This window comes from Homo sapiens, chromosome 11 (genome assembly GCF_000001405.40).
Source record: "Homo sapiens chromosome 11, GRCh38.p14 Primary Assembly".
NCBI classification, from domain to species: domain Eukaryota; kingdom Metazoa; phylum Chordata; class Mammalia; order Primates; family Hominidae; genus Homo; species Homo sapiens.
In genome coordinates this window covers 66,311,175-66,336,787 of record NC_000011.10, presented here as the reverse complement: position 1 = coordinate 66,336,787, position 25,613 = coordinate 66,311,175, and the positions used below count along the sequence as shown (strand labels likewise).

The 25,613-nt window shown below is 58.6% G+C and overlaps 2 protein-coding genes across 7 annotated transcripts, besides 6 other annotated features; both read left to right on the top strand.

Moving 5' to 3' along the window:
• The first annotated feature begins 13 nt into the window (after positions 1-13).
• On the top strand, positions 14-6,547 carry RIN1 (Ras and Rab interactor 1). 6 transcript variants are annotated; one of them, XM_047427919.1, is made up of 10 exons: positions 14-114; positions 630-810; positions 912-1,026; positions 1,106-1,178; positions 1,290-1,381; positions 1,537-2,274; positions 2,750-2,869; positions 3,130-3,261; positions 3,379-3,530; positions 4,036-6,547. In XM_047427919.1, coding segments are annotated over exons 1-10 (2,082 nt in total). In that variant the 5' UTR covers positions 14-112; the 3' UTR covers positions 4,513-6,547. The 6 variants fall into 6 exon arrangements, with proteins under 6 accessions (XP_047283875.1, NP_001350488.1, NP_001350489.1 ...); NM_001363559.2 differs by having other exon boundaries at positions 2,564-2,869; NM_001363560.2 differs by lacking the exon at positions 14-114 and adding an exon at positions 354-471.
• Positions 9,742-10,491: an enhancer, noted in NCBI's record as "H3K4me1 hESC enhancer chr11:66093768-66094517 (GRCh37/hg19 assembly coordinates)". NCBI's record gives its function as "activates a minimal SCP1, AML or CMV promoter by ChIP-STARR-seq in naive H9 embryonic stem cells {active_cell/tissue: H9 hESC(naive)}" and the evidence as "EXISTENCE:reporter gene assay evidence [ECO:0000049][PMID:30033119]".
• Positions 16,741-17,240: an enhancer, noted in NCBI's record as "H3K27ac hESC enhancer chr11:66087019-66087518 (GRCh37/hg19 assembly coordinates)". NCBI's record gives its function as "activates a minimal SCP1, AML or CMV promoter by ChIP-STARR-seq in naive H9 embryonic stem cells {active_cell/tissue: H9 hESC(naive)}" and the evidence as "EXISTENCE:reporter gene assay evidence [ECO:0000049][PMID:30033119]".
• Positions 17,241-17,742: an enhancer, noted in NCBI's record as "H3K27ac hESC enhancer chr11:66086517-66087018 (GRCh37/hg19 assembly coordinates)". NCBI's record gives its function as "activates a minimal SCP1, AML or CMV promoter by ChIP-STARR-seq in naive H9 embryonic stem cells {active_cell/tissue: H9 hESC(naive)}" and the evidence as "EXISTENCE:reporter gene assay evidence [ECO:0000049][PMID:30033119]".
• Positions 19,546-19,815: a silencer, noted in NCBI's record as "silent region_3588". NCBI's record gives its function as "represses an Ori minimal core promoter by ATAC-STARR-seq in GM12878 lymphoblastoid cells {active_cell/tissue: GM12878}" and the evidence as "EXISTENCE:reporter gene assay evidence [ECO:0000049][PMID:35858748]".
• CD248 (CD248 molecule) lies at positions 19,744-22,294 on the top strand. The gene has a single exon (NM_020404.3). It carries the CDS (start codon positions 19,761-19,763, stop codon positions 22,032-22,034), a length of 2,274 nt encoding a protein of 757 aa, NP_065137.1. The 5' UTR covers positions 19,744-19,760; the 3' UTR covers positions 22,035-22,294.
• Positions 20,299-20,995: an enhancer, noted in NCBI's record as "H3K27ac-H3K4me1 hESC enhancer chr11:66083264-66083960 (GRCh37/hg19 assembly coordinates)". NCBI's record gives its function as "activates a minimal SCP1, AML or CMV promoter by ChIP-STARR-seq in primed H9 embryonic stem cells {active_cell/tissue: H9 hESC(primed)}" and the evidence as "EXISTENCE:reporter gene assay evidence [ECO:0000049][PMID:30033119]".
• Positions 24,338-24,587: a silencer, noted in NCBI's record as "silent region_3587". NCBI's record gives its function as "represses an Ori minimal core promoter by ATAC-STARR-seq in GM12878 lymphoblastoid cells {active_cell/tissue: GM12878}" and the evidence as "EXISTENCE:reporter gene assay evidence [ECO:0000049][PMID:35858748]".

Here is a 25,613-nt window from a genome sequence, read left to right as displayed (position 1 = left end):
CCTGAGGCCAGGGGCAGATGAGCAACTGACCACAGAGCCAAAGGTGCCCCCAGAGCATGGCTGGGGCCTGTGGGGACTGAGGCCGCTTAACCACTTCCCGCCCACGTGTGCAATGTGAGTAGCTGGTGAGGCTGCAGGAGGCCGTGTGTGGAGGTGGCATCCCCCAGCTGGGGCCCTCAGAGCAGGGCTAGCATGGAGGGGACCCCTGACCCCCAAAGCAGGGTCCAGAACAGAGGAGGCGGGCACTGGCCAGGCAGGGTGGACACACAAGAGTTAACTGGCGGGTGTGACAGGCGGACCGCCCTCAGGAAGTGTTACTCACTGGGGATGTGCGTGCCTTGCCTTGGGACTGGATTCTCTTCCTGAAGCGAAGGAGCTCCCAGCCATGGAAAGCCCTGGAGAGTCAGGCGCGGGCTCTCCTGGAGCCCCCAGCCCGTCCAGCTTCACTACTGGGCACCTGGCGAGAGAAAAGTTAGTGAAGTTGGCAGGGCAGCCAGGTGGGGCAGGGAGGGGCTGCGAGAGGAGGGCCTATCCGGGGATAGAGAAAGTGGGAAACCCGGGAGTGGGGAAGAGGAGAGCAAGGGTCCCAGCCCCTGGCTCCCTGCTCAGATCTGGGTGCCTGCCCCCAGGCCAGCCCAGGACCCACTGTATGACGTGCCCAATGCCAGCGGCGGGCAGGCAGGCGGGCCGCAGCGGCCGGGGCGCGTTGTGAGCCTGCGGGAGCGCCTGCTGCTCACCCGGCCCGTGTGGCTGCAGCTGCAAGCCAACGCAGCGGCCGCACTGCACATGCTGAGGACCGAGCCCCCGGGGGTGAGTCTTGCCCCACACTCCAGGGACTGGCCAGCCAGGGGTGGGAGGGAGAGGGATGGGACGCCAAGGTCCTGAGCTGCCTGAGCCCTATCCACTTGCAGACGTTCCTCGTGCGGAAATCTAACACCCGCCAGTGCCAGGCCCTGTGCATGCGGTTGCCTGAAGCCAGTGGCCCCTCCTTCGTCTCCAGCCACTACATCCTGGAGAGCCCTGGCGGTGAGGGGCTGGCCTGGCGGGAAGGGGCTGGAAGCAGGGAGGTTCCCCAGAGAAGCACCTCACTTCCCTCCTCTCTCAGGCGTCTCCTTGGAGGGCTCGGAGCTCATGTTCCCAGACCTAGTCCAGCTCATCTGTGCCTACTGCCACACCCGGTGAGTCTGCCCGCAGGGTGCCTGGTGTCCACGGGCCCTGCTCCTTGGGACAGCCCATCCTTCCCGCCCTCTTCGGCCCTCACTCCCTTCTGCTCCCCTCTCTGGCCTCAGGGACATCCTTCTCCTCCCGCTGCAGCTCCCCAGAGCCATCCACCACGCAGCCACTCACAAAGAGCTGGAGGCCATCTCCCATCTGGGCATTGGTAAGGGCTTCCTGCCACCCATTGCACAGATGAACAAGCTGAGGCCGAGGGGAAGGCAAGGCTCGCAGCACACCGCCCGAAGCCCCTGCCTTGCCTTGGTTGGGAAACTTCCCCTAACCAGTCCCGGAGGCCCCAGTCGGTTTCTTGTTCCCTAGAGTTCTGGAGCTCCTCCCTCAACATCAAGGCTCAGCGGGGCCCGGCTGGAGGCCCAGTGTTGCCCCAGCTGAAGGCCCGGTCCCCTCAAGAGCTGGACCAGGGCACCGGAGCCGCCTTGTGCTTCTTCAACCCCCTGTTCCCGGGGGACCTAGGGCCCACCAAGCGGGAGAAATTCAAGAGAAGCTTCAAAGTGCGCGTGTCCACAGAGACCTCCAGCCCCCTGTCTCCACCTGCCGTGCCACCTCCCCCCGTCCCCGTGCTGCCAGGGGCAGTCCCCAGCCAGACAGAGCGGCTGCCCCCTTGCCAGCTGCTACGGAGGGAGAGCTCAGTGGGGTACCGCGTGCCAGCAGGCAGTGGCCCTAGCCTTCCGCCTATGCCCTCCCTCCAAGAGGTGGACTGCGGCTCCCCCAGCAGCTCCGAGGAGGAGGGGGTGCCAGGGTCCCGGGGGAGCCCAGCGACCTCACCCCACCTGGGCCGCCGACGACCTCTGCTTCGGTCCATGAGCGCCGCCTTCTGCTCCCTACTGGCACCGGAGCGGCAGGTGGGCCGGGCTGCGGCAGCACTGATGCAGGACCGACACACAGCCGCGGGCCAGCTGGTGCAGGACCTACTGACCCAGGTGCGGGCTGGGCCCGAGCCCCAGGAGCTGCAGGGCATCCGTCAGGCGCTGAGCCGGGCCCGGGCCATGCTGAGTGCGGAGCTGGGCCCTGAGAAGCTGCTGTCGCCTAAGAGGCTGGGTGAGGCTCCGTCTCTCCATAGCTCCAGCACTGCCCCATCCGACCCTCTGCTCCCCTCCACAGCGCCAGCCTGTCTGATTCTGTTCTGCTGCTTTACAAATCCATCTTGTCTTACCACTGTTCGAGAGAGTTCCATCCCCTCTCTCCCCCAACTCTTCCGTCTCACCCAGGCTACCTCCTCCTGCTTTCCTTGCCTCTCCTCCCCGATTCTACCCCTGCTCCCTTCTCCCCTTGCCTCTGCCCCCCATACCCCCAGTCTTCCCCTGACCCCTCCCTGTCCCTCCGGCAGAACATGTCCTGGAGAAGTCATTGCATTGCTCTGTGCTCAAGCCTCTCCGGCCCATCCTGGCAGCCCGCCTGCGGCGCCGGCTTGCCGCAGACGGCTCCCTGGGCCGCCTAGCTGAGGGCCTCCGCCTGGCCCGGGCCCAGGGCCCCGGAGCCTTCGGGTCCCACCTGAGCCTGCCCTCCCCAGTAGAGTTGGAGCAAGTGCGCCAGAAGCTGCTGCAGCTGCTCCGCACCTACTCACCCAGCGCCCAGGTCAAGCGGCTCCTGCAGGCCTGCAAGCTGCTCTACATGGCCCTGAGGACCCAGGAAGGTATGTCCCTGCCACCACCTCACCCTGCCCTGCCCCTTTGAGTCAGAGGCGGGCCCCCCAGCGGCAGGTCCCCAGGACCCTAGAACAGCCCTGCAGGAGAGAATGAGCCCACCCTCCCCTCTTGCAGATGGCGAAACTGAGGCCTAGAGAGGAGCGCATCCTTTCTGAAGCCCCTCAATGGTTGCTAGGGCATGGGGAGGGGTCACTGCCTAAAGCAAGGACTGTACCTGAAGCTTCTTCCTCTCACCATGTCCCCACAGGGGAGGGCGCGGGTGCCGACGAGTTCCTGCCTCTGCTGAGCCTCGTCTTGGCCCACTGTGACCTTCCTGAGCTGCTGCTGGAGGCCGAGTACATGTCGGAGCTGCTGGAGCCCAGCCTGCTTACTGGAGAGGGTGAGGGACCCCCACCCACCTCCCTGTCTGGGTGGGCCCTGAATAAGCAGGGAAGGGGAGAGGGGATGGGGTGCCCCACACCCAGCCTGAGCCGTGTTCTTCCACCCTGTGTCCCAGGTGGCTACTACCTGACCAGCCTCTCTGCCAGCCTGGCCCTGCTGAGTGGCCTGGGTCAGGCCCACACCCTCCCACTGAGCCCCGTGCAGGAGCTACGGCGCTCCCTCAGCCTCTGGGAGCAGCGCCGCCTGCCTGCCACCCACTGCTTCCAGGTAACAGGCCCTCCACCGTGTCCTCAGAGCCAGACGCCATCCCCGCCTTTCACCTTCCTGTCCTTGGTGAAGAGTCCAGACTCTGTAGACAGATCCTGGGTTCTAATCCTGGCTCTGCCACTGGGTTGTGGGGACTTGGGCGAGTTACTTAACTACTTCGTGCCTCAGTTTTCTCATCAGTAAAATGGGGTAATAGGACCTACCTCCTGGGGTTGAGGTGAAGATTAAATGAGTTAATGCAGGAGAGTGCTTGGGGCACAAATTACTCACTATCAAATCTTCATCTCAGGCTTGTGAGCGCCCCACTGGGCTGTCCTTGCACCTGCGGCTGTGGCCCACAAGCCGACCCCTGGAGCACATAGAGCTTTTGCCGCTTGGTTCTCCCACTGGATCTCCACCTACCCACCCTGTCCCTGCACAGCCCAGAAAGCTGATGTCTCAGCTTTGGAGCCAGATGCATGCCAGCCGGGGCTGAGTACTTGTTTTTGCTTCTCCTCCTGCATAGCACCTCCTCCGAGTAGCCTATCAGGATCCCAGCAGTGGCTGCACCTCCAAGACCCTGGCCGTGCCCCCAGAAGCCTCGATTGCCACCCTGAACCAGCTCTGTGCCACCAAGTTCCGAGTGACCCAGCCCAACACTTTTGGCCTCTTCCTGTACAAGGAGCAGGGCTACCACCGCCTGCCCCCTGGGGCCCTGGCCCACAGGCTGCCCACCACTGGCTACCTCGTCTACCGCCGGGCGGAGTGGCCTGAGACCCAGGGGGCTGTGACAGAGGAGGAGGGCAGTGGGCAGTCAGAGGCAAGAAGCAGAGGGGAGGAGCAAGGGTGCCAGGGAGATGGGGATGCTGGGGTCAAAGCCAGCCCCAGGGACATTCGGGAACAGTCTGAGACAACTGCTGAAGGGGGCCAGGGTCAAGCCCAGGAAGGCCCTGCTCAGCCAGGGGAACCAGAGGCAGAGGGAAGCCGGGCAGCAGAGGAGTAGCTTGAAGTGGCCAGAAGGGTCATTCGGGGCGGGAGACCCTGAGCCTGCTGAGAAATCCTTTTAGCGCCAGCAAGCCCCACCCAGGGCCCTGTCCTGTGTCTGCCACCACCTTTGTCTGATACTTGTTTCCAGGGAAGCTGGGGGAACTGCCACATCTGAGGAACTGGAATAAAGATGAGGGGGCTTCGGGGGCCCCCAGACTGTGTGCCCAAGGCCCCTTGCCTCTTGTTCTTCTCCCCCAGCTGAGGGTGAGCCAGCCTGCAATGAGGGTGTGCCAAGTGGGGGCGAATCCGACAGATGCCCAACCTCTGACGTGGGGAGGGTGACGGTCTCAGCTCCTTTTACCCTTCCCCTCATGGGCATGGCTGAGGCAGGGCTCCACCCAAGTATCTCCCACCAGGCTGGGACTTCCAGACCCTAAAAGGTTCCAATGGCTCTTAGGTGTCAGGAGGATTTAGAGAGGCCACAGAACAGCAGCAAAGGCTTGGGGCCCACCCCTGTCCTGGACACCAGAAGGACCTGCACCTGCAAGCCTCAGTACTCTCATCTGTAAAGTGGGGACACTATTGCTGCCCTGCTCGGCTCCCAGAAGTGTCCCAGTGATCAAAATGGGTGATTTTGCTACAAGCAGAGCTCATGGCAGAAAGGGAGGGAGAGAGCTGGGCTGCTAACTCTCTCCCGGAGTCCGCTCTCTGCCAGACAGGGCTCCCACCTGCTGATGCCCAGTTCAGGGAGGTTATTCCCCTGGAAATCAGGCCCTGGGGAGAAAGTACCCAAGTTACAGTCTCTCCCCAAGATTTGGAGTCCTCCCAGGCCCTCCAGCATCTCTGGGGAGATCCACCAGCTGGCAGATAAGCTTCCAGAATGGAGAGGGGGCTCAGAAACCATGCTCTCTGCACTAAACTCTTGGCCCTCACAAAAGCTTTACTTGGCCATGACTTGTTGGGCCCACTGAGGGTCAGGAAAGTGACTCCCAGGATGTCATATAGCAAGTCCTTAAGGGTTCCCCCGCCCAAACCAGGGCATCAGGTTCCAACTCCACCCTCCATTCTAAGCCACCCACAAAGGCCGGGGCAGCCCCCAAGGAAGCCCAGAGCAGGCAGCAAATCCAAACAAGGAAAAGTGCCGACCACCAACCACGAGGGGGTGTGCACGGCCCGGGAATCTGCCGAGAGGGTGACCACCCAGGGGTGAGGGCGCCTCCAAGGCTGCAGCAGCAGAGGGGGTCCCGGGCCTTGCAGTCCAGCAGCATCAGGCAACCTGGGGACAGCGCAGGGGCCAAGGCCACTGGCCCCCAGGTCCCTTAGATTCTGGGGTCTGGGTAAGGCCAGCCTCTTGGGGGCCATCCCCAGGAAGGAAGGAATTGTCCCCTTATGGAGGATGACCCCAGAGGCTCTCTCCTCGGGCACTGAGCACAGAGGGGACGTCAGCCCAAATGTCAGACATGACAACTGGGAGGTAGAAATCGTGGACATTGGCTTTTTGGGTTTTTTTGTTTGTTTGTTTGTTTGAGATGGAGTTTTGCTCTGTCGCTCTGGCTAAAGTGCAGTGGTGCCATCTCGGCTCACAGCAACCTTCGCCTCCCAGTTCAAGTGATTCTCCTGCCTCAGCCTCCCGAGTAGCTGGGACTACAGGTGTGCACCACCACACCTGGCTAATTTTTGTGTTACTAGTAGAGACGGGGTTTCCCCATGTTGGCCAGGCTGGTCTCAAACTCCCGACCTCAGGTGATCCGCCCGCCTTGGCCTCCCAAAGTACTGGGATTACAGGCGTGAGCTACCACACCCAGCCAGACATTGACTTTCAGATGAGCAGTCCAGATACAGCCCAGTTGCACGGCTCCCATTTTTTTTGTCACTAGGCCACCAGCAGCTCTTCCCTCCCCACTTCCACGCCCTCCCAAGGTTCTCGCTGATAGGAAGTGTCCCGTTGGCTCTTCTATTCCCCTCCCTGTTTCACCACTCACCCCTAGTGCCTCACACAGTCCAATGCTGAGCACAAATGCCATAGGTGTTCAATAAATGTTGTTCACTGATTGGAGTTTGATAACCAGGAGTGAGGGACAGTGAGGCAGAAACCTGGGGAGTATAAGGGAGGACTCGGTTCTGGGAATCAAACACGGGATGTGTCAAGCTCAGTCCCAGAGGAAGGACCTGGAATGTTTGTAGAGGGTGCTCGGAGGATCCCAGGGGCCGGATGTACAACTGGCCTCATGGGAATGAGGCTCTGGGGCCTCTACAAGCCCTTCCCACCCTTGCCAGGCTCAGCATGACCTGACCCCCTCCCTGCCCTCCCCAGTGATGGGGCACCACAGGGAGCTGCTGCCTGGGTCTTGTGGTTTTTCTTCTCAAGAAACTCTGGGCTGGGCCTGGTGGCTCACGCCTGTAATCCCAACACTTTGGGAGGCCGAGGCCGGTGGATCACCTGAGGTCAGGAGTTCAAGACCAGCCTGGCCAGCATGGTGAAACCCCGTCTCTACTAAAAATACAAAAATTAGCCAGGCGTCGTGGCACACACCTGTAGTCCCAGCTACTGGGGAGGCTGAGGCAAGAGAATCACTTGAACCCGGGAGGCAGAGGTTGCAGTGACCCGAGATCACACCACTGCACTCCACCCTGGGCAACAGAGCAAGACTCCATCTCAAAAAAAAAAAAGAAATGAAAAGAAAACAAAAAAGAAACTGATTGGTCAGGGGTCCAGGCCAAATCAGCATCAACAAGATTATGATCCTGGGGCAGAGCCTCCAGGCAAGGCAGACAATGATAGGCCAGTGTAAGACCAGTCTCACTAGCCCCATTTTACAGATGAGAAAACTCAGACTTGCTCAGGGAAAGTGCCTTGTTACAGGACAAAGGGCTCAGACACCAGGTTCTGTAGTCCTTCAAAGCAGAGGGGCTGATTTATATGTCCACTCAGCACATCTATCAAACATCTGTTATAGGCCGGGCAAGGTGGCTCAGGCCTGTAATCCTAGCACTCTGGGAGGCCGAGGTAGGCAGATCACCTGAGGTCAGGAGTTCAAGACCAGCCTAGCCAACATGGTGAAACCCCATCTCTACTAAAAATATAGAAGTTAGCTGGGCAAGGTGGCTCACGCCTGTAGTTCCAGCTACTTGGGAGGCTGAGACTGGAGAATTGCTTGAACCTGGGAGGTGGAGGTTGCAGTGAGCTGAGATCACACCACTGCATTCCAGCCTGGGCGACAGAGCAAGACTCCAAAAAAAAAAATCAAACAACAACAACAACAACAGAAGTGTCTGTTATAGACCAAGCACCAAGCGCCCCCAGCTCCAGCCAAAGGGAAATAGGTCACATCTCTCCATTTGCATGGCGTGATCTGGGTGGTAACTGAAAGCTCACTGTGTCCTAGGGATTCCATGCCACCCCTTCCCCAGCCTTTGTCCTTATGGAAAAAGAAGCCAAGGCTCCAAGAGGTGACATGCCTGGCCCAGCGTCCGCTGCTGCAGGGCAAGACTGGAACTCTGACGTTTGGATCTATGAAAGAGCAGTCGGGTCATTTCCTTACTTGGAAGCATTGACCTTATCACTCCTAAAGTCACGGTGGTTCTGTATGCAAGTTTATTGTCTGTTTCCCTCACTAGAATGCCAGAGCCACCCCCACCTTGTTCGCAGTTAAATCTCAAGGGCCTTGAACAATGGCCGGGCCGGAACTGGCACTTGTGAATCTATGTGGAATGACTGATTCGGAAAGACGCAGCCTAAACTGTCCCTCCGCTTTCCTGGGTTGCAGGGTGGCGCATCCTTCATTGCTGCCACCAGGGGGCAGAGCGCACCTCATTCCTGGCCACGTGCAGGGTCCCCTCTGCTGAGGCGGAGGACCCAGGGGACTCAGTGCTCCCAGCCTGCTGCTAGGAGGAAAGCACCCAGTGGTGGGTCCCTGGGACCCTGCGAATGGGGGGTGAGGGAAGGGCTGCATATCCCTGGTTCTGTGGGCCAGTGTGCTCTAGGAACCAGGGGCCTACTGGTGGCCTGAAAGGGTTGCAGCAGAAGGCAGTCATTGAGACCCACCCTACCCTGCCACACCTTCAACACAGAGCATCTAGCACCCTGCCATGGCCTTGCAACCCATGTTCACACCCACAATTAACACACAGTGACACTGTCTGACCCACATTCCCACACAGGGTGCACATCCTGCCAGCCACGGGCACGTGCAACAACCCTGGGGCACCCCCAGGGTTAACAGGCACACCCTGACACTGTCAGCCATTCACTCCTGCGGGATGGGGTGCAGGGACACACTGGCGCCCCTCCTCCCAGACACACCCTGACACAGACCAGCCACCCACTCAGACATCCCTGGATCTGCAAACACTGAAATATTTCAGCACCCTTGTTCTTGGGTTCAGAGTGTGACTCCTGGACACACACATGGGGACAGGCTGACACAGAGACACATGGTGACCACCTACACTGGGATCCCATGATGCACTAGACCTACCTGTGCAGAACTGCCACCGGCACACTCCATCCCCCACTCAGACGCAACGGCGCACACTCTCCCGAGACACAGCACACGGCTGCCCCTTCCCACTCTCCAAGCATTTGAAGTGCAAACACACACAGAGACACACTCACAAAGACACACACAGAAACTCACAGAGACATACACACACAGACACACAGAGACACACACACACAGACACACATAGACACACAGAGACACACACACAGACACACAGACACACAAAGACAGACACACACACACATAGACACACAGACACACACACACAGACACACACAGACTTTTATACTTTGGAGCACACAGAAGCGGTCCAAGCCCTCTCCCGAGTCTCCTCACTCCAGCCCTGTCCTGTCCCACCACCACTCACCCACCCCAGCCCATGCTAGACCCTGGTGGGAGATGTGGGTTGCTGGAAAAGACCCCCATGAGGGGTGTGGTGACCCCACTAGCCAGGCAGGAGGCAGAGGCAGGCAACGCTGGGTGGGGAGGCCTGAGCTCATCAGATTCCAGCCTGAGTGATTCACAGGAAGAGCCTGGGGAGGACCCTGGAGGAGACACTGGCCCAGGGGCTGGGGCATTTGGGGCCTGAATGGGCTTTGGACCAGAGGGTCCTGGGTCCAGAGCGAGCCTTGAGTCTGGGGGCAGAGGACTTCCTGAGGGGGTGGCCCAGCCTGAAGGGTGCCTGCTGGACGCAGCCCCTGGGAGGGGCTCGGGGCTCAGCTGAGCCGCAGGATGAGACAATCGGCCCTTCCCACCCACCCCACCCAGGGCCAGGGCCCCTGACCCCACGCCTTCCAGGTCCTAGCAGCTGGGTGTCTTTAGCAGGGGTTAGGCCAAGGGTGGGGGCAGGGGTGTGGTGACCCTCTTGGCCCATTTTGGCCCCTCAGGCCCTCAGGCTGACAGCTCAGAGGCCCCAAAGGGCTGGGTCCGCCTGGCTGGGTTGGGGCCAACTGGGTTACAGCCCCGCACAGCCCTGCCAGGCGAGGCCTCTGCCAGAGAGCCGGGAACGCACGGGCTGTCCCCATGCCAGGGATGTTTTCCTGCTGAGATCGAGCCCTGTGCTTCTGCCACCCTCAGAACCCCTGTCTCCCAGGCCAGGCTGATGCTCAGAGGAGGTGGGGCCTGCAGCGCCCAGACCCAGCTGCAGGGTGACAGGAAGAAAGGATGGGGCTGGGGGCAGGGCGGGGGTGCAGGAAGTGCCTTTCTTGGAACTCTGCACAAAAATAGTCCATTCTGTCCCTACGCCGAGTCTCAGGGTCCCACAGGGAGGTGTGTGTCACCAAGGAGACCCTCAGCTGGGAGGGGCCGGTGCTGACCTTAGTCTGGCTTCTGCTAGCACCTCCCTCCCTCCCTCCACCCTCCGCCCTCCACCCCTCCACCCCCACTGCGGCCTCTGCCCCACTTTGAAGTCCTAACATAAATACCATGTCTGCTTGGGTTCCCCTTCCCGGCCTGGTCACAGCCCCCAGACCTGGCTTCCACCCCAGCCAGCCCCGTGGGAGTGTGGTGCCAGCAGACAAGAGGGAGGTCTGGACCACCCAGGGAAGGTGGCGAGCCAGAGACCCTGAGACAGAGACAGGGAGACACCGGTGGTGGAGGGGGAGACCAAAGTGAGCAGAGAATGGAGAGACAGACCCCAGAAACCAAGCAGGGGACGATCCTGAGGGCAGGAGAGGAGAGAGACAGAGACTCCAGAGACAGAGAGGGAAGAGAGGGGAGCAGAGAGAAAGAGACCCCTGCAGCCAGAGAGAGACGGAGTGAGACCCTGGGGACAGTAAGGGGCAGGAGGAAGAGGGCACAAGACAGGAAGCAAAGGGGAAAGTAAGAACCTTCAGAGAAGGTTCCAGAGATGGGGTGGGGGGAGGCAGGGACAGGGGTAGCAGGGGGAAGGATGTGGTGGAAAGAGAAGTGTCCCTGGCAAGTGGGACCAGCCATCTCGATTTCCTGGGATTGGCAGGGGTGTTGAGGGTGTCCCAGGACATGGGACTTTCAGTGCTGAAACCAAGAAAGTGGTCAGCAAACCTGGACGAGTTGGTTGCCCTGGGTGGTAGGCCTCTGGCAGACACCACGGGGACCACAGTGTCCACTCCACAGGCACCCCTTGCACAGGTGAGGAACCTGTGACCCTGAGAAGGGCTGCTCCTACACTGGGGCAGGAGGCCTGGGCCCTTCTAGCTCTGACACGTGCTCTGGGACTCCCTTTCTTGTGGGCAGATGGGGCCAGATGTTCAGGTCAGGCTTCTGCCACGAGAGGGAAGTGGGGTCCCAGCTGGGCCCAGGTTGGACAATCTGGGGGCAGCCATATGCTGCTCCCTCACAGCTGTGGGCACAGGTGTGGACTCGCGGGGACACACGCACATCACCCAGCTGTACACTCACAGCAGTCCCAGGCCTTTGCAAGCACACACATGCACACGCACACACACATGCACACACACATGCACGTGCACACACACATGCACACATGCAAGCATCCAGGAACACGAACATGGCCTCTCACCATGGTAAATACACCCCCAACCCTCAGCCCCCTTCGGTCGGCAAGATCCTTTACCCTCAGGGGCTAGGCCTGGTCTGGACCACACTTTTCCTGGGTCCCCCTTCCCCAAGCCTATTCCTCCCACCCGGCCCACTCCCCAGCACCACTGCCTCCCCTTCCGGCAGGGATCTCCCATCCAGAAGCACACAGGTTGGGGGGGAGGAGCAGGAGGCTGCAGTCGCTCCCTTCCCTCCCCAACTCCTGCCTGGGGTAGATGCCTGGACTTGGGTGGCAGGGACCCCCCAGCGCCCACCCAAGACCAGTGGCCTCCCACCCACCACACATCAAAGCTTCCTCCTGACAGTCCGAAGGCTGGGGTGGTTTGGGAAGAATTTAGGCGTGGAGGGAGGTGGGGGATGGGAACAGAAGAAAAGGAGAAAAGGAGGTGATTTGTACACAAAGCAATGTGCTGGCTCAGCGGCCTGGCGTGCCAAGGCCGTCCAGGACGCCTGCCTGGGGGGCGTCCCCTAATCACACTCGATACCCCACCCTGGCTGTTCCACTGGGCCCTCTCTGGGCCAGCCCTTCTTCAGGCCGCCCTCACCCTCACCCCCACAGGCCCACACATGGCATCCAAAACCACCATCTGCTTCTTGCCTGTCCCAGTAGCTGCAAGACAAGGCTCCTTCTCAGGCCATGGGCCTCTGTGTTCATGCTGTTCTTCAGATGAGCTCCCCTCATATGGGCCATGATCAGAGCAGGGAACCCCAGCCTCCTGACCCCTGATGTGAGCTGAGCCTGGCCTCCTGAGCTTGGAAGGTACATCGTCCCTACCCTCAGCCAGGGAGACATGTTGGCCTCAGAACCCAGCAGAAAACAGGCTGTTTGGTACCACGAGAAGCATCACACCTGATCCCTGCCAGTGGTAGTCTAAGTTGTCCTGTCCTGGGCTGCACTTCTGCAGAGCCGCGGAGTTCTGTTCTGAGCATGTCATTCATCATGGTGGCTGCTAGTTATGACTCAGGACCTCCCACTTCTGCCTGTGGCCCTATATCCAAACATGCATCTCAAAATCTTCTCATCCACACACCTGCCCACCTACCCATCTATCCATCCATCCACTTACTCATTTCTACATCCTTCCATTTAGCCTCCCGTCCACCCAACCACCCATCCACCTATTCTCCACGTAAACATCCTCCCACCCACCCATGCATCCATGCATCCATCCATCTATTCACTCTCCCACCCATGCATCCATCCATCTATCCACCCATGCATCCACCCACCCATGCCTTCATACATGCATGCATGCATCCATCCACCCACCCACCCATGCATCCATCCATTTGCCCATCTACTCATGCATCTACCCACCACGCACCCATGCATCATCTATGCATGCCTCTGCCCACTCATCCACCCACCCATGCATCTGTCCAGCCACCCACCCATGCATCTGTCCAGCCACATACAGCCCTATGCATGCATACATCTATCCATCCATCCATCCACCCATCCATCCATCTTCTGCCCAAGCATCCTTCTACCCACTCATACATCTGTGCATACATGCATTCATCCATCTACCCATCTACTCATGTATCCACCCACCCACACACCCATGCATTCACCCATCCATGCATCCATCCACCCACACACCCACCCCAGATCAACATCCATGTATCCACCCAGCCAGCCACCCCACTCATTCATTATCCATGCATGCATTCATCCATCCGTCCATCAGTCCATCCACTCATGCATGCCTCCATCCATCCATGCATCCATCCATCCATATATCCACCCACCCATCCTCCAAGCATTTATTGTATCAATTAGCATCTTCTCTCTGCTAGGCTGAAAGACTAGCAGGAAGAACAAGACCCCAACCAACCCCTCTCCAGCCCCTTAAACCCAGATCCCTGATGCTATGCCCGCTACATCCTCCAGCCTCACTAGATAAAACAGTTCTTGGGCAGCCTCAACCTTACCTCACACAACCTTGGGGAGGCTGCTGAGTGCTGGGCACCCTCCCGAACTGAGCAACCAGATACCTCTCCAAGTCTCATTCCCAATCCACCAGACGCTTAGCCTCACAGAGGCCAGAGGTGCCCCTTCCTGCCTTCTCCATCCCTCATGCTGGCTCAGGCCTCCTTCCACTTGCAAGTAGGCCCAGCCAAGACATCTGGAATTTGGCCTTTGACCTTTCTTCTCCTGCTTTGCCTGCTTGCCCCCCAACCCCTCACCCCCACAGAGGCTGGACTCCTGACCTCTGATCCCATCCACCCACTTGTCAGACGGCCTGCAGCCATCCGTCCCCTTAGACGCCCTAGTACTGGCCATTGCCCGACTCATGACTGGGCTCACCACACCCTTGGACCAGGCTCAGGACTGCCCCTAAGGAGCCTCTGGAGGCTGCCTCCCCCAGCCCGGCCCGCCCTGCCGCCGGGCTCTCCAGCCAGCTCCCTCCCCTTTCCCAGACTATTGCAACAGCCTCCTAACTGGTCCCTGGCCTCCAAGCCCCCTCCACCCACCACACACAAGCCACAGAGATCTCTCATCATGCCTCTCTTCCCCATGGCCTCCAGAAGGGAGCCCCGGACTTTTAGGGACAACTTCAACACCTTTCAAGACAGGCCCCTACTCCTTTTCTCCACTCCTTACTGTCCCTAACAATGTCCCTCACTTCAGCCTGGTGGAGTCCTTTGTATTCTCCAAACCCATCTTGAGCTCTGCCACCTCAGTAGTCTTGCCCAGGCTGTGCCTTCTTCCTGGTATGCCTTCCTCCCATCTTGTTTTTGTTTTTTCGAGATGGAGTCTCTGTTACCCAGGCTGGACTGCAGGGGGTGATCTCGGCTCACTGCAGCCTCCGCCTCCAGGTTCAAGCGATTCTTGTGCTTCAGTCTCCCGAGTAGCTGGGACCACAGGTACCCGCCAACACGCCGGGCTAATTTTTGTATTTTTAATAGAGACGAGGTTCCACCATATTGGCCAGGCTGGTCTCGAACTCCGGGCCTCATGTGATCGGCCCACCTTGGCCTCCCAAAGTGCTGGGATTACAGGCGTGAGCCACTGTGCCCTGCCCTGTCTTTGGTTTTTGACTTGAGGCCTAACTCTCAGAACTTTGCTCAAATGATGCCTGAGGGTGCTACAGCAAAAAGAGAACTGGAATAAGAATAAGGAGACCTTGGCTCTAGTCCCATTCCTGCCACCGACACTCTTTGAAACTCCTTGTACCTCAGTTTCCCCATCTGCAAAAAGGCCTGCCGATTGCCAGAGGTGGTCTGACTTCATGTGGAAGGCCAGTGAGTGTTGGGGACAAGTGAGCTTTGGCTGCAGGAAGAATCCCAGCTCCCCACTGCATCTCCCTGAGCCAGGTTCATCACTTCTTTGAAGCTCATTCACGAGGCATCGTGAATGAGTCAGGAGCTTTCTAGGCTTGGGGATAGAGCAGGGAACCAAATAACAACCCTGCTCTCATGGAGCTCACAGTCTCCAAGGGCAGAAGTTCTCCCCTGGGGGTGATGCTGCTTCCAGGGAACATGACATTTGGCAATGTCTGGAGACATTTTGGATGGTCCAACTGGAGGGATGCCACTGGCATCTACATAGGAGCCAGGAACACTGCTAAACACCTTGCAATGCACCACGCAGTCCCTACAACAAGTAATTACCGAGGCCTGAATACCAGTAACTCCAAGGTTGAGAAACACTGGCTAGGGGAGATTTGGGCCATAAGCAATAAGCAAATCCACAAGTAAATTTCTTTTTCTTTCTTCCTTCCTTCCTTCCTTCCTTCCTCTCTCTCTTTCCTTTCCTTCCTTCCTTCCTTCCTCCCTCCCTCCCTTCTTCCTTTCCCTTCCTTTCCCTCCCATCCCCACCCCTCCCTTCCTCTCCTTTCCTTCTTCCTTCCCCTTCTTTCTTCTCCTTTCCTTCCTTCCTTCTCTCTTTCTCTCTTTCTTTTTAAAAAATTTTTTTTATTATTATTATACTTTAAGTTTTAAGATACACATGCACAACGTGCAGGTTTGTTACATATGTATACATTTGCCATGTTGGTGTGCTGCACCCATTAACTTGTCATTTAGCATTAGGTATATCTCCTAATGCTATCCCTCCCCCATCCCCCACCCTACAACAGTCACCGGTGTGTGATGTTCCCCTTCCTGTGTCCACGTGTTCTCATTGTTCAATTCTCACCTATGAGTGAGAACATGCGGTGTTTGGTTTTTTTTGTCCTTGCGATAGTTTGCTGAGAATGATGGCTTCCAGCTTCATCTATGTCCCTACAAAGGACATGAACTCATCATTTTTTATGGCTGCGTAGTATTCCATGGTGTATATGTGCCACATTTTCTTAATACAGTCTATCATTGTTGGACATTTGGGTTGGTTCCAAGCCTTTGCTATTGTGAATAGTGCCGCAATAAACATACGTGTGCATGTGTCTTTATAGCAGCATGATTTATAATCCTTTGGGTATATATCCAGTAATGGGATGGCTGGGCCAAATGGTATTTCTAGTTCTAGATCCCTGAGGAATCACCACACTGACTTCCACAATGGTTGAACTAGTTTACAGTCCCACCAACAGTGTAAAAGTGTTCTTACTTCTCCACATCCTCTCCAGCACCTGTTGTTTCTTGACTTTTTAATGATCGCCATTCTAACTGGTGTGAGATGGTATCTCATTGTGGTTTTGATTTGCATTTCTCTGATGGCCAGTGATGATGAGCATTTTTTCATGTGTTTTTTTTGGCTGCATAATTGTCTTCTTTTGAGAACTGTCTGTTCATATCCTTCGCCCACTTTTTGATAGGGTTGTTTGCTTTTTCTTGTAAATTTGTTTGAGTTCATTGTAGATTCTGGATATTAGCCCTTTGTCAGATGAGTAGGTTGCAAAAACTTTCTCCCATTCTGTAGGTTGCCTGTTCACTTTGATGGTGGTTTCTTTTGCTGTACAGAAGCTCTTTAGTTTAATTAGATCCCATTTGTCAATTTTGGCTCTTGTTGCCATTGCTTTTGGTGTTTTAGACATCAAGTCCTTGCCCATGCCTATGTCCTGAATGGTATTGCCTAGGTTTTCTTCTAGAGTTTTTATGGTTTTAGGTCTAACATGTAAGTCTTTTCTCTTTCTTTCTTTCGTTCGTTCTCTCTTTCTGCCGAGACCAGCTCGGTCGGGGAGACCCTAACCCAGCGGTGCTAGAGGAATTAAAGACACACACACAGAAATATAGAGGTGTGAAGTGAGAAACCAGGGGTCTCACAGCCTTCAGAGCTGAGAGCCCCGAACAGAGATTTACCCACGTATTTATTAACAGCAAGCCAGTCATTAGCATTGTTTCTATAGATATTAAATTAACTAAAAGTATCCCTTATGGGAAACGAAGGGATGGGCTGAATTAAAGGAATAGGTTGGGCTAGTTAACTGCAGCAGGAGCATGTCCTTAAGGCACAGATCACTCATGCTATTGTTTGTGGCTTAAGAATGCCTTTAAGCGGTTTTCCGCCCTGGGCGGGGCCAGGTGTTCCTTGCTCTCATTCTGGTAAACCCACAGCCTTCCAGTGTGGGCGTTATGGCCATCATGAACATGTCACAGTGCTGCAGAGATTTTGTTTATGGCCAGTTTTGGGGCCAGTTTATGGCCAAATTTTGGGGGGCTTGTTCCCAACATCTTTCCTTCTTTTCTTTTTCTCTCCCGCTCGCCTCTCCCCTCCCCTCCCCTCCTCTCCTCTCCTCTTTTCTTTTCCACAGTCTTGCTCTGTCGCCCAGGCTGGAGTGTGCAGTGGCGCAATCTTGGCTCACTGCAACCTCCACCTCCCAGGTTCAAATGATTCTCCTGCCTCAGCCTCCCGAGTAGCTGGGATTACAGGTGCACCACCACGTCCAACTAATTTCACAAGTAAATATATTTAATGTCAGATAGTGATAAGTGCAGAGCGAGAAAATGCAGGAAGATCCAGTGGTCAAGGAGCCCCAGGGGGCGGTGTGGGGTGGGGTGAGATGGTCAAGGACTCTGGTACTTGAGCTGAGCCCTGGAGAAGGTAAAGAAGCAGAGCATTTTTATATTGGAGGAAGAGCATTCCAGGCAGCAGGAACAGCCAAGACCAAGGCTGTGAGGCAGAGTGTCTGGAGCATTTAAGGAACAGCAATGAGGCCAGAGTTTGGAGGCAGATGACATAGACCAGGAGGCCATGGCAAGGACTGTGGCCCTTCCTCTAAGCGAGATGGGGGGCTCAGAGGGTTCTGAATGGAGAAGTGATCAGATCTGACTTGGATTTTGAAAGGATCCCTCTGGCAGGATGGAGAGGGCAAGAGAGACACCACGGGAGAGGCTGTTGGGGAAATCTAGATTGGCGTTGCTAGCCACCTGGGCCGGGGGTGGGTGGCAAAGAAGGTGTCCAGGAGTGGTCAGATTCTGGATCTCTTTTGAAAGTGAAGCCAACAGGATTTGCTGAGAGACTGGATGTGGGCTGTGGGAGAAAGAGAGGAGTCAAGCATGACCTCAAGGTTTGGGGCCTGAGCCAACAGAAGGATGAACTCCTCCATCTTGACTTTTGTCTCCTGAGAAGGGGAGTCATTCTGTGTGCTTCACATGTATAGACCTTGTAAGAAGGAACTTCCAGGCATATGGCAAGAACTTCCTAAGCCCTGGTTCTCGAGGGGCTGGCTGGGTCTGCAGGGCCAGCCTAGGCACTGTAAGGTGGTTTGCAAAAACGCACCCTGGTCTCCACCCACCACATATGCTCAGAAGACAGGAACATTTGCTTCAGGCTCCACAGCTGACAAAGCACATTTGCAAACACTGAGCGCTGTGACGCAATATCTCAGCCCTGCTGAGCTAAAAATCCTGGACTCATTGCCCTCATGTTGCAACTGAGAAAAAAGGAGACCCAGAGAGGGCCAGTGACTCCCCTGCAGTCACAAAGTCGATCCATCTGTGGCAGAGGGGGAAGCTGCATCAGGGCAGTTTACTGAAGGGCGGAACCTCTCCCCCACCTCCCCACACTGTTTCTAACTTCTGCTAAGAGTGCAGCGGGTGTGCATGGGTTAATCCGCCAGCCAGCTCCCCAGAGGCCATCCTGGATGATGGGCTCAGTGCACATGCCTCCAGAGGCCTCCAGGAAGGGCGGGAAGAGGACCCTGGCCAGGCCGAAACAGCAGGCCCCGGGGGCAGGGAGGGCTCCACACACGTGATGCCTGTGTCACATATACACATATATGTCACTGTGTGCCCCATGCCCATACATGGCCTTGCATGGGTCCCCTCACAGCCTTCCACATCCTGCGTGCAGCCCAGCCCCCACCCAGCCCCCTAAACCACGCACCCTGCCTTCCTGACGCAGGAGCCCAGAGAGGCATTTCCTGTTTAGGGGCTGCCTCCTCCCCCTCTAAGCCCAGGTTCCCAGGGCCCCAGGCTGAGCTGGGGTGAGGGGAGGGCAGCCCCTGGCCCCCTCACTCCCCCAACACCCCCACACGCTGGCCCAGCTGGAACCAGAAAGCTTGAGTATAGGGGGAGAGGCTGACGCAGGGGCTCAGTAAATAAATGAGAGGCTGAGGATGCCTGTGCCTGGGTGACCAAGCTGTTTCCATTCAGGCCGAATCGGAGGTCTTCATATGTCAGGCCATGTAGAATGCCACACCATTTTTGTATGTGCACCTAGGGTCTCAGCATGTCAGAATGTGTGTACGTGTGGCAAGGGAGTCATCTGCAAGCCAGCATAGGTCCACGGTGAGGTGAAGGGACAAACAGCTTGGCAGAGAGTGCACTCTTGCATGGGGTTGGGGGTGGGGGAGGCGCATGCGCGCGTCTGTGGGGCAAGAAAGGAGTGGGCATGAGGGTGTTCCCGTGCATGGCGAGCAGCTGGGCTGAGACTGCTCCCGGGTGTGATGGGGCTGCTGTGTCCAGATTTGGGTCTCTGAGTCTCTGGGAAGCGACCTCACCCCACAGCCCCGAGCCCCAACTTGAGGGTCACAGAGCTCGGCAGGCAGGCTTTTCCCACCCCCTGACTCTCAGCCCCATGGGGCCTGGGGCAGCCGTCAACTGCGCCTTCTCCCCTCCTCCGCCCCCAACCTTAGAGCCCCCCACCCCACTGCTTCCTGCTCTAGCGGCCCCCGGGGAAGAGGGAGCAGGGAGCTGGCAGCCGCCCCAGCCCACTCCTTACAAGGCCTGAGCCCGGCCCCAGGCCCGCCCCCGGCCCGCCCGCAGGAGGCCCCAGGCCCTCCCCCTGTCAAGAGCTGCCGCCAGCCCGGGGCCGGACCAGTCCGGGGGCATCGCGATGCTGCTGCGCCTGTTGCTGGCCTGGGCGGCCGCAGGGCCCACACTGGGCCAGGACCCCTGGGCTGCTGAGCCCCGTGCCGCCTGCGGCCCCAGCAGCTGCTACGCTCTCTTCCCACGGCGCCGCACCTTCCTGGAGGCCTGGCGGGCCTGCCGCGAGCTGGGGGGCGACCTGGCCACTCCTCGGACCCCCGAGGAGGCCCAGCGTGTGGACAGCCTGGTGGGTGCGGGCCCAGCCAGCCGGCTGCTGTGGATCGGGCTGCAGCGGCAGGCCCGGCAATGCCAGCTGCAGCGCCCACTGCGCGGCTTCACGTGGACCACAGGGGACCAGGACACGGCTTTCACCAACTGGGCCCAGCCAGCCTCTGGAGGCCCCTGCCCGGCCCAGCGCTGTGTGGCCCTGGAGGCAAGTGGCGAGCACCGCTGGCTGGAGGGCTCGTGCACGCTGGCTGTCGACGGCTACCTGTGCCAGTTTGGCTTCGAGGGCGCCTGCCCGGCGCTGCAAGATGAGGCGGGCCAGGCCGGCCCAGCCGTGTATACCACGCCCTTCCACCTGGTCTCCACAGAGTTTGAGTGGCTGCCCTTCGGCTCTGTGGCCGCTGTGCAGTGCCAGGCTGGCAGGGGAGCCTCTCTGCTCTGCGTGAAGCAGCCTGAGGGAGGTGTGGGCTGGTCACGGGCTGGGCCCCTGTGCCTGGGGACTGGCTGCAGCCCTGACAACGGGGGCTGCGAACACGAATGTGTGGAGGAGGTGGATGGTCACGTGTCCTGCCGCTGCACTGAGGGCTTCCGGCTGGCAGCAGACGGGCGCAGTTGCGAGGACCCCTGTGCCCAGGCTCCGTGCGAGCAGCAGTGTGAGCCCGGTGGGCCACAAGGCTACAGCTGCCACTGTCGCCTGGGTTTCCGGCCAGCGGAGGATGATCCGCACCGCTGTGTGGACACAGATGAGTGCCAGATTGCCGGTGTGTGCCAGCAGATGTGTGTCAACTACGTTGGTGGCTTCGAGTGTTATTGTAGCGAGGGACATGAGCTGGAGGCTGATGGCATCAGCTGCAGCCCTGCAGGGGCCATGGGTGCCCAGGCTTCCCAGGACCTCGGAGATGAGTTGCTGGATGACGGGGAGGATGAGGAAGATGAAGACGAGGCCTGGAAGGCCTTCAACGGTGGCTGGACGGAGATGCCTGGGATCCTGTGGATGGAGCCTACGCAGCCGCCTGACTTTGCCCTGGCCTATAGACCGAGCTTCCCAGAGGACAGAGAGCCACAGATACCCTACCCGGAGCCCACCTGGCCACCCCCGCTCAGTGCCCCCAGGGTCCCCTACCACTCCTCAGTGCTCTCCGTCACCCGGCCTGTGGTGGTCTCTGCCACGCATCCCACACTGCCTTCTGCCCACCAGCCTCCTGTGATCCCTGCCACACACCCAGCTTTGTCCCGTGACCACCAGATCCCCGTGATCGCAGCCAACTATCCAGATCTGCCTTCTGCCTACCAACCCGGTATTCTCTCTGTCTCTCATTCAGCACAGCCTCCTGCCCACCAGCCCCCTATGATCTCAACCAAATATCCGGAGCTCTTCCCTGCCCACCAGTCCCCCATGTTTCCAGACACCCGGGTCGCTGGCACCCAGACCACCACTCATTTGCCTGGAATCCCACCTAACCATGCCCCTCTGGTCACCACCCTCGGTGCCCAGCTACCCCCTCAAGCCCCAGATGCCCTTGTCCTCAGAACCCAGGCCACCCAGCTTCCCATTATCCCAACTGCCCAGCCCTCTCTGACCACCACCTCCAGGTCCCCTGTGTCTCCTGCCCATCAAATCTCTGTGCCTGCTGCCACCCAGCCCGCAGCCCTCCCCACCCTCCTGCCCTCTCAGAGCCCCACTAACCAGACCTCACCCATCAGCCCTACACATCCCCATTCCAAAGCCCCCCAAATCCCAAGGGAAGATGGCCCCAGTCCCAAGTTGGCCCTGTGGCTGCCCTCACCAGCTCCCACAGCAGCCCCAACAGCCCTGGGGGAGGCTGGTCTTGCCGAGCACAGCCAGAGGGATGACCGGTGGCTGCTGGTGGCACTCCTGGTGCCAACGTGTGTCTTTTTGGTGGTCCTGCTTGCACTGGGCATCGTGTACTGCACCCGCTGTGGCCCCCATGCACCCAACAAGCGCATCACTGACTGCTATCGCTGGGTCATCCATGCTGGGAGCAAGAGCCCAACAGAACCCATGCCCCCCAGGGGCAGCCTCACAGGGGTGCAGACCTGCAGAACCAGCGTGTGATGGGGTGCAGACCCCCCTCATGGAGTATGGGGCGCTGGACACATGGCCGGGGCTGCACCAGGGACCCATGGGGGCTGCCCAGCTGGACAGATGGCTTCCTGCTCCCCAGGCCCAGCCAGGGTCCTCTCTCAACCACTAGACTTGGCTCTCAGGAACTCTGCTTCCTGGCCCAGCGCTCGTGACCAAGGATACACCAAAGCCCTTAAGACCTCAGGGGGCGGGTGCTGGGGTCTTCTCCAATAAATGGGGTGTCAACCTTACCCAAGGCTTCTGACCCCCACTGGTGCTTAAGGGAGGTTCTGGGAGGACTCAGCAAAAAGGAGGGGATCTTCCTTCAGTTTGTCTGAGTCCTCAAAGAGATAAGGTAAGATCCCTTTAAGGGAGGGTATGCCTCAGAGATTCTCAGGGAAGCAGGAGCCCAGAGAGGGCAGAGCCTTGCCCAAGGTCACACAGTTGAGCCCAGCAGTGGGAGGTTTGGCATGGGGAGAATTTCATATTTATTCCTTATTTTACCAAAGCTCCAAGAAGGTGGGGCTGAATCTGGGGGACGGTTGTGGAATTAGGGCATCTGCTGAACCGGACTGGGGTTTAGGGGTCAAAGTAGGCTCTGGGGCTGGTGATTCAGAGGAGTGAAGGAGGGGTCTAGTGGGTGAGTTGCTCCTTTCTTCAGACACTTCCCTTCCCATCCCTGTAAGCTTCGCGGAAGTTGGGGGCTGGGGCTCAGGGTAACTCAAGGGGACTGCCAACCCCTGGTTTGTGGGTGCTCTTGGAGGCATTCCTCCGCTTGCTCCGGGGAGGAGGCTGGGATGGGAAAGGCCGGGAACCTGGGAGAGATCCCATGCTAACTGCTTGGACAGCCGCAGGAGCAAGGCCTCCTTTTGCCAGGGCCGCACGTTGCTCTTGTCCATGTTGGCTGGGGGTGGTGGGGGACAGACAGAGCTCAGCAGACCTGAGCTTGAGCGAGGGCTCCGGCTGCTCAGGACTGAAGTGTCCCAGGAACTGGAGGGCCTGGTCAAAGATCACAGCCTGGTGGGAGTGACCTCCCTCATTTCGTGCTCACTGCCTTGGGGGGCGGGGGTGAGACCTGGGGAGGGGAGGCGCCAGTTCCCACCGCCTCTGTAATTTTTCAGTTACAGCCTCTTGGGGGCCTCTAATTAGGACGGGGCAGAGCCGCCACGACCACCCGGGCAGGCGAGGAGGAGTGGCCCAGCGCCCCCTTCGGGCCTGGACCTGAGCTGGAAGGCTGAGCTGGGCCCCAGGGAACCAGGAAAGGAGGGGCCGGAGCTGGGGATGAACCAGGGGGTCGCGGAGGGGGCGGAGGGAACGCTACGCACCGCCCCCGGTCCCCGCTCTCACGTTCCCCTAACTCAAACCAGACGTCCCCGCCAGATCCTGCACAGCTTTAACCTCGGAGACGCCGTCGGGCAGGTTTGCTGGATGCCAATGAGGGTTGCGAGGCGGCCCAGACGGCTGAGTCTGGGAAGGAGGTGAGGAAGCCTGGGGAGCGACAAGGCCTGCAGAGACGGGATGGTCTGGAGTCCCCTCCGTGACCTCGGGTAGGGATCTAGAGCGCCTCGAGGGCAGGAAACAGTTAAATACACTGCAGTCGGAGGCGGGGGATGGGAGTGGGGAAGGGGGCCCAGAGCCGGCTCTTTGTCATCTGGTAATGAGCACCAGATGCGGAGCTGCGTGCGGGCCTAAACAGACGGCCTCCCAGGGCAGAGCCCCGGCCTGCGCCCAGCCCGGGCTCAGCCCACTTACTCGCAGGCCCCGCCTCATTCGGGCGCGGCGGCGAACTGCATACTCCAGCGGTATCAGCCCGGACCTGGGAGCTACGAGCCACGCCTACTCGCTGCAGAACAGAAGAGAGCCCCCGGGAGCTCTCCAGAGGCCCCGCCCACAAAGCCACAAGCCCCGCCCCTGCCAACTCAAAGATTCCAGCAGCGATTGTGCCCGCCCCCTGCCCTCTTGGCCCCGCCCAGTCCCCCGCCCACAACCTACAAGCCCCACCTCCTCCGCTCGGCGCGCGCAGATTGGCGGAACTATTAGTCTCGGCTTCTAGGAGGTATGAACTTCGCCCCGAGTTTACACATTCTCTTCACGCGGCGCTACAGGCCCCGCCCAACACAACTGCAAGCTTCGCCTCACAGAGCCCTGGACACTGCAGGGAATCCCTCAGAGGTCTTAACTCTGTTGGGGGATGATGTAAACTCCGCCCTCCAGGGAAACGTGTGAAGTTCCCCTCAACCTCCTCTTCAGGCTCCGTCCCCAGCTACAAGCTCCGCCCCCTCTCAAGCTCACAAAAGTGGAAGAACTGCGCCCTCGTAGGACTGTCACACCTCACACATCGAGCGGAGGTAGCGGTTCACCTACACGGAGCCCCGCCCCCGGGGCCGCCCACGAAAGATGCAAGCCACGCCCCTGGGGGCCCTGGAGTCCCGCCCACCCAGAGCGCCCTGGCTGCGGCGTAGCGCACAAATACGGCTCTGCGAAGAGCGCTACCGAGCGAGCCTCTTATCGCACGCCCCGCCCACACTCAGGCTCACCCTCTTGGCGCAAGCACCGCCCACTCCACCCCTGGGTCCCTTACCACCTTCGCGATATGCCCAGATCCACCAGTCCTCCGAACCCCTCATCTCTCACCACGATGCCCTTGAACCTGGCCCTGGAGCCCTCTTCTTCCTCCACCTACGGTTTCCGTTTGTCCAGATTTCGGGTTCTCTGGGCGAGCCCGGAGACTGGGCCCGGACAGCCGGGCAGATGGCGTCGATGGGCCTTTGGCGCCACCTGGCCTCGGCCCCACGGACTTACAGCCACCGCGAGGCCTCGGTAGGGCCTCTCTCTCAAAGCGTACTAATTGCTCAGTAAATAGAAATAGCTGCTTAATTCGTTAAATGTTAGTGTTACTTAAATATCTGCCGACTCCCCCCACGGGACAGCCCATCCTTTCGCAGATGCCTTTCGTCGTATGTGGAAATTCGTCCCTAAGGGAGCTTCGCACTGGCCCTCGAGCCACCCTATGAGCTGAGCGCCCCTGACAATCTCTAAAGTGGCTGGCTGGTCGAACTCTTGCTGTCTCTCCCCGACAAATCCTTTCGCCTGGAGGGCGAAAGCATCGCCTCTCATCTGGCGGCCTAGAATTCCTAGGACCAGGTTTCCCCCGCCCCCACCTAGTGCTCCAAAGGCTAGACACCTTCCCTGGGGGCTGTGTTGCGAAGGGGTGGGTTTGGGCGGGGAAGCCCTCAATTAGGAGCTGAAGGTCGTAGTTTTTAGGGACAGTGTCTCAAGGGAGACCCTATCTCAGCTCTCATCTCTACCTCTGAAAATAACAGCCTGGAGGGCAGGAGACGCTGAAGTTCAGGGCTAGGAACCCAGTAAAATATTTTTCAAACATTAGTGGGACAGACAGGGAGCAACCCTTGAGGAGGAAGGGAGTTGACACCACTGAGCTCCAGTTGGGCCCTTTGCTTCCTGCCTTAGCTGCCAACCTTGCCCTTACCCACCTCCGGGCAAATCAGGCCTGGGGAGAGGGATACTTTCCAGACCAGGTTCCAATGCTCGTGCACTAGCCATTACAAA